We start from the raw sequence: 11,925 nt of genomic DNA on the forward strand, positions 1-11,925 counted from the left end.
ATGCAATGCTCCTACCTTTGTGCACAGGTGGCTGTTCTTGCACAAGGCCATTGCAGCATGGATCCTATTGCACAGTTATTCAGTACACAGTCAGCTACAAGCACTGACATAGAGCTTGGCACATGTCTGCAAACCCTACCCACATGCTCGGATATGTTTGAAATGAATGAATTAATGAACCGGTCTGGGGTCAACAGCTTGAATTTGTATACAGGCTCCGCCATTTATAGGCTAGGTGAGTCCTAGGCTCCTGATCTGTACTGCAGCAATAGTAATCATAACTTAAGAGACCTCCAATTGTGTTTTGAAAATGGCAAAGTGCTGGTCACAAGATGGCTGGGGAAGCCGAGAGAGAGTTTATTATTATTGCTCCATCTACTAACAAATTTACATCTCCCCATCCCTCATTTCTCCTTGGCTGCCTAAGGCATCATGGTTACCGTAGCAGCCAGATGCTGATGATGCCTCCAGGGGACGGCAAGGTGAAACTGAGCCAGTTCCCAGTCCTCACCTCCCCATACTCTTTCCAGGCCAGGGTGAGATGGTCTGAAGCTCAATCTCTGGTCAGGTCCCCCACTCTGTCTTGGATCATTTAGACCCACAAACTCTGCCTCTGCAATCTCAGTTCAGGGCCTTGAAACACCTCTTCAGAGACTCCCTCCTCCCCAAGCTCTGTCTTCTGGCAACCTGCCTGGTTGCCGTGGAAACAGGTTCCACTGCGGACAAAGGAGGGAGCTGGGTCCTGCTTCCTCCTGGTCTTGTCGATGAGGATTTTTAGACCGTGGAGACTGCGCTGCCCTGCCCTGCACCTACCCTCACTCTCCGTGTTCTCACTAAGGTGGAAATTGCCTTCCCTCACTACTGACGAGACCATGTGTAAAAGCGTGACCACAGATGAGTGGAAGAAAGTCTTCTATGAGAAGATGGAGGAGGCAAAGCCGGCTGACAGCTGGGACCTCATCATAGACCCCAACCTCAAGCACAATGTGCTGAGCCCTGGTTGGAAGCAGTACCTGGAATTGCATGCTTCAGGCAGGTGAGTAGCCCAGGAAGGTGGATCCCTGCAGGCCGCCTCTAGGTCCCTAGCTCTGGGGCACCTTCCAAGGAGAGGAAGATTACGTAGAACCCAAGTGTTTAGCTTCAATCTCACTATTAGGCTGGCGTAGACTGGAAGTCAGAGAAAGAGTCCCTAACTGGGAACTACGACACTTGAGTTGGATTTCAGCTCTTCTACTGATCACCTGTGTTACTCTTCCTCTCTGAGTCACAATTTTTCCGTCTGGAAAATAAAGACATAGAATATACGTATGAGTCCTACACACTGACATTTTACATATTTTCTATTTTAACAGTCTCTTAAAAAGTAGTTTAAAACCAGAGAAGAAGGGTTTGAGGCCCACTGGGGGTCGAGACGTCCGTGCTCTGGTCCTGGGACCGGTTTAAATCTATTTAACTCAACTTAATTTCACTTAAAATATTGAATACATGAGATGTGCCAGAAACTGGCTCTATCATTGGCTCCATGGCTGTTGAGGAACTCGATTTTCTTCTTGGACCTGGCTTTCTCCTTTTGCACAGTGAGAGGTTAGCCTGTGGTCCACAGAGCAGCAGGATCGGCATCACCTGGAATTTGTTAAGAAAGCAGAATCTTGGGCCCCTTTTAGATCTGAATCAGAATCTGATTTCAAGAAGAGTTCTAGGTGATTAGTATGTAAAAACTATCTGAGATGAATTTCTAGCACTCTTGTTCATGGGTCCAGAGTGTAGGGGCTTACCTTTGAGACATAAGATGGGGAGGCTGAGTGGTGCAGCCTGGAAGTCAGAAGCAAGGCCTTCCTGCTTGCCCTGGTTCAGCCAATTCACTTCAATTCAGGAAACATTACTGGGCACCTGTTACGTGCTGGGCGCCGGTTCTGCCTCTAGCTGTGTGTACATGGATGCCTCTCTCACTCTGTCTCAGCATAAAAGAAAACATTAATTAGGTGATTTCCAGGTCCCTCTAGTTACGACATTTTTCAATCCAGGTTTTGTAGTCTGGTCTGAGAGAGGAAACAGTCCCCAAAAGATGTGTGAACAAGAAGAGAATGAAAATGTGAAGCTCCTAAACTGGCTGACAGGAGGGGTGTCAAGGGCTGGACACTTACAGGCAGGATCAGGAGCTTCTTGAAGACCTGGAAGGCTGTGGGGGCTGAGTGGGGAGGGCTTGTGGCTGCCCCAGACCTGGCTGGGGACCTGTAATCCCCAGCTGGCCCCAGTCAGGCCTGGGAGACTACAGGCCTTGGGGATCTGGGCACAGACTGCCTCCACCTCCAGGCCTTGTGATGCATTAACTCTGACACTGGCCTGGACGTTGATAGCTAGTAATGGTGTCATTTTCTCCTAATTTGGATCTAGCCTGTTCACAGTCAGTGTTAACAGATAGAAATGTGCAGATGGATTATGTGTTTCTTATCTGGTGTGAGAAGGAAGGACTCACCTAGTGCACCAAGCGCATTTTGCCCATGAGGAATAAGAATGACGCCCAATGCTGGGGTGGTGGGAGTTAGGCCTCTGGAAAGCACTGAGGAGGTAGAGCACTGCTGGATGCCCGGTGACATCCTGAGGAACCTGCTGTAGTCCTAGGGGCACTTGCAAGGCTGAGTGGCTTCCTGGGGAAAGCTAATGAACCCAGGGCGCCGGCAACACACTTCCTCCACCTCCAGGCTCTGCTTAGCCTCCACGTCCCCTCACGCCATTCCTAGGGCTGTTTCCACCACCTCCGCCCGTCTTCTATTCCTCCCTCTCCTCCCGTCTCCGCAGGTTCCACTGCTCCTGGTGCTGGCACACCTGGCAGTCGCCCTACGTGGTCATCCTCTTCCACATGTTCCTGGACCGCGCCCAGCGGGCGGGCTCGGTGCGCATGCGCGTCTTCAAGCAGCTGTGCTATGAGTGCGGCACGGCGCGGCTGGACGAGTCCAGCATGCTGGAGGAGAACATCGAGGGCCTGGTGGACAACCTCATCACCAGCCTGCGCGAGCAGTGCTACGGCGAGCGTGGCGGCCAGTACCGCATCCACGTGGCCAGCCGCCAGGACAACCGGCGGCACCGCGGAGAGTTCTGCGAGGCCTGCCAGGAGGGCATCGTGCACTGGAAGCCCAGCGAGAAGCTGCTGGAGGAGGAGGCGACCACCTACACCTTCTCCCGGGCGCCCAGCCCCACCAAGTCGCAGGACCAGACGGGCTCAGGCTGGAACTTCTGCTCTATCCCCTGGTGCTTGTTTTGGGCCACGGTCCTGCTGCTGATCATCTACCTGCAGTTCTCTTTCCGTAGCTCCGTATAAGATTCCGTGGTTGGGCCCAGAGCCTGTCGAGGGTGCCAGTTAGCTGATGCGAGGGTAGAGGAGAGACGTGGGTTGAGAATAGTGTAAACTTCTAGCGCTGGTGATGTCACTGACTCAGTGGGGATCTTGGACAAATTATACAGTTTTTCCATCTATAAAACTCAGGGTTTGGGCAAGATCATTGGTTTATCATAGTGAAACCCAGGACCCCAAAGTTCTGCGTAGGTGCCTCAGGGACTTTTGGATTTGGAAAGTAGGCTAAGCTAGTGGGTGTCTCCAACTCCTGATCTAAACACCCATCCTCCAACTCCTACCTCCTCCTCTTGCTTCGATCAGAACAGCTTTACTTTAGATAGGGTTCCATTTAAGATTTTTGTACCAAAAAAAAAAAAAAAAAAAGTTTAACTACTTTTAAAAAGTTTGAAAATTAGAGGACTGGGTGATCTCAAAAGGGCTTTCCACAGTAATGAGCTCGACCTTGCTCTTATTAGTCCCTCACCCCTGCCCCTCATGATCTCCCACTTTCTCTAGCTGCAGCCTTAAATTAGCTTCTTTGCCCACCCTGTGAGCCTCATCCGTGATTCTGCCTTCACACACGCAGCAGAGGTTTCCCTTGAAGTGCAAGAGGTGGGAGATCAGGCTGTTCCTTTGCTGCCAGGTACACAGGGTCTCTTTTTTTTGTTTCTCAGATTCCAGCTTCTTTCCACTCAGGGCAGATTCTGGGGTCTGCCTGCCTGAAAGATGGTGGTTGGGGTGGGGTCTCATAGAGTTAGGCTTCTCACCCACTGCGTATTAACTGGCAGAGAATTTAGGGGAGGTTCAGAAGACAGAGTTTTAGAAGCAAAGCACAAAATCTCTGGGAGGCATTATAATGGAGGGTCTTCAGAGTTCGGGGACCAAGTCTAGCAGATTCTCAGCAGTGCTGATGGCCAGAATTCAGGAGCAGGGGCCTGGCCTCCTGGGTTCTTTGCTGAAATTATAGTTGAATGGCTTTCTCACATTGGCCAAGCATGAGGCCTCTTGCCAAAGATCAGCTGTCCCCCTAAAGCCACAGGGATGGGGTATCTTCAGCAAGAGAGAGGGCGTTAAAGATGTAAAATGCTTTGTCCATGGGGAAGTGCACAGATATGTGGGAGAACCTTACAAGGCTCTAAAATGAGATGTGATATGGCTTGAAATGGGAGGAGACACTTTCTGACAGTGGGGGGTCTGGAATGGAATTGGTGGGGACAGGCAGCAAGCTGCACTTTTGAGGGGCCTCATTTACCCCACCTCTGTTAAAAACTTGACTACTCTCCTCTTTAATAGAAAGTCACCATCATCTGTAGTGATGGAGGAAGGGGGTCACTTATATAAAGATGGGACACTTTAATAAAGACAGGATATCTTCCATAAGGCTTAGTAGTCATTAATGTGTGTTTGAGATTCCCCCACTGTCCCAGATCTGTAATGAGCTATTGGTCCCCTCCATCCCGCCACCCTGTCTCCCCTTTTCTCCCTTCTGCCCCCTGACCCCACTGCCACATAAGGCTCTATCTAGCTCCAGTTTTTGGCCAGTCTCGTCCACAGTCAGGAGGGATGGAAGTCAGTCATTCAGGGGATCAGCATAAGGTCAGTTTTACTCCTATCCTGGCTCGAATTCAAGTAAGCAGCGATGGCTTCCTTTACTTCATTCACAGAGTATTTATTTCTTCATCTAGTCCGCATATCCTGAACACCTGCTATCTAGCAAGTCCTGATTTACTTGCTAGACAGTAGGTGTTCAGAATATGCAGACTAGAGGAAGAAATGAATACTGTGGGTGCAGCGGAATATAGGGGGTGCTCTCTGGTTTCTCAGACATCTCTGCTTGCTACAGAAGTTTTCAGCCCTGGCTGTACTTCAGAAATTCTGGGGAGATTTTAAAGAAATATAAGTACTTAGCCTCTACCCCAGACCAATGGGATCAAAATTTGGGGGAAGTGGGACCTGAGCATCTGAATTAGAATAAAACACCCAGGTGATCGACCTGTACTGCCTGGTGTAATGCCTTCTAACTGAGGGATAGACTTCCTTTTGCATCTAGTTTTATGAAAAATGAGCCCTGAGATCTTCCTTGATGATTTGCCCTGGATTCTTTAGGACTGGGGCTCGGCTTCCCTTTCTCTAGCTGCCCTACTCACCCCCAGCCTGTGCTCTGGGGAGTTCACCGTCCCTCACACTCCCTTGCTCCTGCAGGTTTGCTGCTACAATGGCTGTGTTCTGCTCTGAGAGTCTTTGTCACTGAGCTCTGCCACCCTTGCTGGGACACTCATAAAACTTGTTATAATTACTCATCCCTGCTAGGATGTAAGTTCCAAAAAGCATAGACTCCATGGATTTCATTCACCTCTATTGAATGCATAACAAATGTTCAATAAAAATGTATTGAATGAATAAATGAACCAATAAGCTGAGCCATCTCCAGCCAGATCCTCACCTCTCTAGCATATTATGCTTGTGACGATATTCGGAGTCTCCTTCTCACTTCACCACTCATTCTTTCTATGTCTTGAACTTACATATCCCAGAGCAAATCAGTTTAAATTAAGGTACTTGAAGTAGGGACGGCGTTTTGTTTTTATTTTTGTTTTGTTTTAAGATGATAGCATGGGGTCATGTGAAGGGGCCTGAACACTGCATTGGGAGCTGTGGGTCCTCATTTTATTTTAATTGGGTTCTGCTGGGACTTTTGGGGGGGTCATTATTCTCTCTGGGTCTTAGATGCTCTTATGATATGAAGCATTCTGAAGTCTGTCTTTGTGCCATCCTGTATTAGCCCATATAAAGCATTTTTACACACTTTCCAATGACAAGTTCTCCAGCCTGTATTTGAGCACCCCCAGTGACAGGAGATCATTACCACCCAAGGCAGCTCATGCCATCTTTGGATAGTTCTGCCTTTTAAAGAAGACTTTTTCCTTTTAAGCCTCCCTCAAAAGGGTTTGAATTTTTTCACTTTCTGGTTCTGGTTCTCACAAGTGGGATCCCACAGGGGAGGATGTTTCCTATTCCCCATACAGATCTTTTCTCAGCACTGCAGCCAGGGCAATCCTTTTAACCTAAGTCAGATCCTGCCATTCTTGTGCTCCCTTTTGTGTTCTGTAAAAGCCAAATCCTGCAAGGCCAAACGTGGTGTGGCTTCAGCCGTGTTACTGATATCCTCTAGTACTCTTTGCCCTCATTTCTGTAGCTACCCTGGTTTCTTTGCTGTTCCCCAAATACACAGGCATGTATGTGCTTAGGGCCTTATTCTACCTGTTCCCTCTGCCTGGAATGGTCTTTCCCAAGAAATTCACTTGCCTCACTTTGTGACCTCCCTCAAGTGTTGGCTCAAGTCTCAACTCAGATGCTCTTCTCAGGCCTTCTACTTCATGCTGTCACCTGTTCCCCCACCCCACCCTCTCGCTCCTGGTTCGCCTTGCGCTTACCTTAGCCTGTGTTTTCAGAAAGCAGAAGTCAAGGCAGAGGTTTATGTGATAGTATTTGACTGGGGAGCATGACCTCAGAAAGCTGGAGTAAGGCAGAGGGAGCACAGCAAAGCAGGAGGGAAATCCAATGGAAGGAGGTCTTGTCAAGTTGGCCATCTCCGCTGGTGAAGGGTTGTTCAGTCCCAGAAAACCATCTGAGAAGCCGGATGAAATGCATCTCCAGATCACTTGGGAGTAAAGGGCTATCTATCCCCTGGCTCCTGTCTTCCAATAGCTGAAGGTTGCCCCATAGGATGTTAACTTCCCTCCACTCTGGGTTGTGGTACACTAATTGAATGAAAACATGAATGAATAAGTACTGAAAGAGTATCAGAAGACAAGGTTAGTGTCCTTGCTCTGACTTTCTCAAGGTACAATTTCCAGTTTCTGACTTTTGCAGTCCTGTTCTGGTTGGGTTTCTTTCTGGGGGCCCAGCATCCACTCCACATCCTTTAAAAATAGCACTCTGACTTCCTTTTCCGGGAATTACCTGTACCCCATGCAATATAACGTGGTGGCATATCAAAGAACTCTGCACCTCCCCTCAACTCCCAAGCAAGGAGCACATGCCCTAAGAGAAGTTGATTGGAATTTCAATGATAAGCAAAGTGATAAAAACACTAAAAACGGATGGAGCCTATCAATTCCAGTGGTGGCCCCCGACATAATTGTAAAATTGTTTCTATTGTTTTTCCTATTCATATCTCCTGCATGGCCAATTTTTTCTTTTTTTTTTTTTTTTTTTTTTTTTGAGATGGAGTCTAGCACTGTCGCCCAGGCTGGAGTGCAGTGGTGCGATCTCGGCTCACTGCAAGCTCCACCTCCCGGGTTCACACCATTCTCTTGCCTCAGCCTCCTGAGTAGCTGGGACTACAGGCTCCCACCACCAAGCGTGGCTAATTTTTTTGTATTTTTAGTAGAGACGGGGTTTCACCGTGTTAGCCAGGATGGTCTCTACAGCATGGCCAAATTTTGTCGTTTGCTGATACTTGTTCTCCACTCTTTCTGATTCTGCGAACTTTCCCCATAGCTTTTCAATACTTTCCCTTTTATGCTTAAATCAGCTGCCATCTCTGTGTGTTTCAACCAAAGGACTCTGGCTGATACACCAGGACTTCTCCACTGGGTCAACTCTGACGATGAAAGCTCAGACCAGAGCTCCATCTGCCCTCTCCCTGGACCTTCAACTTCTCTGTTCTCTGTGCTGAAGCACCTGCGTCAACCCCACACATTCCCCTACAAATCTTGCCTTTTCTTCTTCTATTTTTTTTTTTTTTTGAGATGGAGTTTCGCTCTTTCACCCAGGCTGGAGTGAAGTGGCATGATCTTGGCTCACTGTAACCTCCGCCTCCCTGGTTCAAGCGATTCTCCTGCCTCAGCCTCCCAAATAGCTGGGATTATAGGTGCCCGCCACCATGCCTAGCTAATTTTTGTGTTTTTAGTAGAGACGGGGTTTTCCCATGTTGGCCAGGCTGGTCTCAAACTCCTGACTTCGGGTGATTCACCTGCCTCAGCTGCTCAAAGTGCTGGGAGTACAGGCATGAGCCACCACGCCCAGCCAAATCCTGCCTTTTCTCCTTCCATTTACAATGAGATGTTTCAAGGACTGTTCATAGGCTGCCTCCACATTTACACTTCCAGTTAATTCTACAGGCTAACGTTCACCCCACAATGTTGCAGAAATTGTCCTCATCCAGCTCACAATCAGGCATCTTATGGCTACATACAATGAACACATTTCAACCTTATTTTTCTTGGCCTCTCACAGGAGTTCAACACTATTGACCATCTCCAAACACTTGCTTTACTTGGTTTCAGGGACATGCACCCTCCTGATTTACCTTCAGCTTTTCTGTCTCCTTCCTCTTTTCTTTACAGGTTTCTCTGCCTCTGCCTGCCTCCTGAATGTTGGTATTCTTTAGGCTCCAATTCCAAGTCTTAGTCTCTTTGATCTTCTCATATTTGTCCATGTCCTCTGGCTGATTGAATCTATTCTGAGTGTTCTTTAATATCTGTATGCTAATGACTCAAATATACATCTCAAGGCATGAATTTTCTTCTTGACTTCTTACATTTATGTTCTCCTTGACATCTCTGTTTGACTGTTTCACAGGCATTTCAAAGTCAACATGTCCTAACTGATTCTAAAGTATGTTTTCCCTCTGGTGTTCCATAAGATTTTTTATTTTAACTATTTTTAATTGCACAATTCAGTGACATTAAGTACATTCACATTGCTGTGTAACCATCACTGCTGTTTATCTCCAGAACCGTTTCATCAACCCAAACTGAAACTATCAAATCATTTCACAGCCCCACGACAACCACCATTCAAGTTTCTGTCTATGAGTTTGACTATTTTACCTAGTTTACTTTAATATATAGGGAGTCATTTATTTTCTTCCCCTCATATTTATTTCAAGCAATGACTTCATGTTTCCAGTGGCATAGTAGCCACAATATTTGTCCTTCTGCATCTGGCTTATTTCACTTAGCATAATATTTTCAAGGTATGTAATATTAAAGCATGTATCGCAACTTCCTTCCTTTTTAAGGTTGAATTGTATTTCCTTGAATGTATATACCACATTTTGTTTATTTATTTTGTCTTAGCCCATTTTCTGTTCTTACAACAGAATACCCGAAACTGTGTAATTTATAAAGCAAAGAAATATATTTCTTACAGTTATGCAGGCTCAGGAGTCTAAGGATGAGGTGCTGCATCTAGTGAGGGCCTTCTTGCTGGTGGGGACTATTTATGGCATCACAAGGTGGCATCACATGGCAAGGGGACTTAGCATGCTAATGTGCTCACTCAGGTCTTTCTTCTTTTTCTTATAAAGCCGCCAGTTCTCCTCCCATGATAACTCATTAATCCATTAACCTATTAATCCATGAATGGATTACTCCATTTGTGAGGCAAAGCCTTCATGACCTGATCACCTTTTATAAGCCCCACCTTTCAATACTGCCACATTGGGGATGAAGTTTCAATATGAGTTTTTGAGAGGACACTCAAACCATAGCATTCTGTCCTAGCCCCCAAAAACTCATGTCCTTCCCACATACAAAGACATATATTCCATCTGCATAGCTCCAAAGTCTTAACTTGGTCCAGCAGCAACTTAAAGGTTCAAAGTCCTAAGTCTTATATATGAGCCTGTGAAATCAAAACAAAATATCTACTTCTAATATACAATGGTGGGACAAGCATATCGTACACATTCTTATTCCAAAAGGGAGAAATAGAAAAGAAAGAAGGGGTAACAGGCTTTAAGCAACTCAGAAACCCAAGAAAGTAGACATTGGGTCTTAAGACTCCAGAATGATCTCCTTTGACTCCATTTCTGGCATCTTCTACACACTAGTATGGGGGTTGGGCCCCACAAGCCTTGGGCAGCTCTGCCTCTGAAGCTTGATTGGGGTCCGTCCACCCAGCTCTTCCAGGCTGGGGTCTTGGTGGAATTCCATTCCCAGAGCTCCATGAGGCATTGCCCTACTGAAGACATTCTACAGCAGCTCTGACCCTACATTTCTGCTTGGCATTGCTCTAGTAGAGGCTCTCTGTGGTGGCTCTACTGTCATGACAAGTCTTTGTCTGTGCTGTCACGTTATCAATGACATTTTCTGAAACTTAGACGAAGGCTTAATAAGCCTCCACAGCTCTTGCTTCTTGCAAGTCAGCAGAATTAGCACCATGTGGATGCTGCCAAGGTTTATGACTTACCTTCCAGATCTGCAGCATGAGCCACACCTTGGCCTGCTTGAGTTCTTGCTGGGGTGTCCTCAGAGTACTGTGCTGGGGCACAGAGTCTGGAGGTGGTCTTGGGCAGTAAGCCCACAGAAAGTGCCTGGGCTTGCTCCCTGAAACCATTCTGCCCTCCTAGGCCTCTGGGTCTGTGATAAGAGGGGCAGCCTTGAAAATCTCTGAAATGCCTTTGAGGTCTTTCTTCCATTGTCTTGAGGAATAGCACCTGGATCCCTTCTAGCCATGCTAATCTCTTTAGCAAATGGCCTCTGGGCTACATCCTTGCTTTTTCACTTTTTACATGGCCAGGCTGATAAATTTTCAAATCTTTCCACTCTGCTTCCCTTTTAATTATAAATTCTTCCAATTATTTTTTTTGTTCCTCAGCCTCAGTGTAAGCTGCCAAAAGTAACCATGCAGCTGCTTGTTTTGCTTAGAAATTTATTCTGCCAGATACCTTAGCTCATCACTTCCAAGTTTGGCCTTCCACAGAGTTCTTGAGTGTGGACACAGTTCAGCCAAGTTCTTTGCAAATTTATAACAAAGATGGCTTTTATTCCAGTTTCAAATACTTTGTTCCTCAGTTCTATTTGAAACCTCATCAGAATGGCCTTTACTGTTCATATTTCCATCAGCACTCTGGTCATGACCACTTAACCAGTCTCTAAAGAGTTTCAAACTTTCCCTAGTCTTTTTGTCTTCTAAGCCTTCATCAGAATCTAGGCATTTCCTAGACTGCTCCTCCAAATTCTTTCAGCCTCTGCCCATTACCTGATTCTAAAGCCAATTCCACATTTTCAGGTATTCATTACAAGCAGCACCCCACTCCTTGGTAGCAATTTTCTCTCTTAGTCTGTTTTCTGTTGCTTCTAACAGGATACCTAAAACTCCATTCATCCATTGAAAAACATTTGAATTGTTTCCACCTTTTGCCTATTGTGAATAATGCTTCCACAAACATTAGTGGGCAATGATTCATCTGTTTGAATTCTTGCTTTCAATTCTTTAGGTAATTTTGTAGTTGTTCAAGATGGGGCATTTGGAGTATAGCCACCTCTTCCAGTCTTTGCAGACTGGCTTTGTGCCAGAGAAGCCCTTCACTAATTAGCTGGGCGTGCCCTGTACCTAGGGATCAGCCAGAGGTGAAAGCTTAAAGTCTTTTCAGTTCTTTTATGAGCATGCATCTTGACTGGGCCTATGGCTTTTTCAATTTCCCAGTATACAGGCCTGCTTTTGAATGTCTTCATTTCCCAGAGTCTCACTCCAGCTTCTCCTCTGGGTCTTAGATGATCTATTGTGTAGCTCCACCTGTAATGTCTCGCCACAGGTGTCTGTGGAGCTTTTTAAAGCAGACTCCCATGCCTGCGACC

At 46.5% G+C, this 11,925-nt stretch overlaps 1 protein-coding gene and 1 long non-coding RNA gene across 2 annotated transcripts; one reads left to right on the top strand and one right to left on the bottom strand.

The window, feature by feature from the left end:
* Positions 1–338: 338 nt before the first annotated feature.
* LOC101929106 (uncharacterized) lies at positions 339–10,878 on the bottom strand. The gene is made up of 5 exons (NR_110052.1): positions 10,535–10,878; positions 6,769–7,095; positions 2,477–3,362; positions 1,776–1,951; positions 339–1,279 (listed from the first exon to the last, which is right to left on the bottom strand). It is a non-coding gene; the product is annotated as an uncharacterized LOC101929106 (long non-coding RNA).
* Positions 735–4,711, top strand: RTP1 (receptor transporter protein 1). The gene is made up of 2 exons (NM_153708.3): positions 735–1,036; positions 2,800–4,711. Exons 1-2 carry the CDS (start codon positions 765–767, stop codon positions 3,317–3,319), a joined length of 792 nt encoding a protein of 263 aa, NP_714919.2. The 5' UTR covers positions 735–764; the 3' UTR covers positions 3,320–4,711.
* Positions 10,879–11,925: the final 1,047 nt, after the last annotated feature.

This window comes from Homo sapiens, chromosome 3 (genome assembly GCF_000001405.40).
Source record: "Homo sapiens chromosome 3, GRCh38.p14 Primary Assembly".
Classification (NCBI taxonomy): Eukaryota; Metazoa; Chordata; class Mammalia; order Primates; family Hominidae; genus Homo; species Homo sapiens.

What these genes read in the sequence shown, in the direction of transcription:
- RTP1 (NM_153708.3), top strand. Translation starts at nt 765, where the DNA reads ATGAGGATTTTTAGACCGTGGAGACTGCGCTGCCCTGCCCTGCACCTA. An exon ending in GAATTGCATGCTTCAGGCAG is followed by an intron (nt 1,037 to 2,799) that starts GTGAGTAGCCCA and finishes CCGTCTCCGCAG; the next exon opens with GTTCCACTGCTCCTGGTGCT.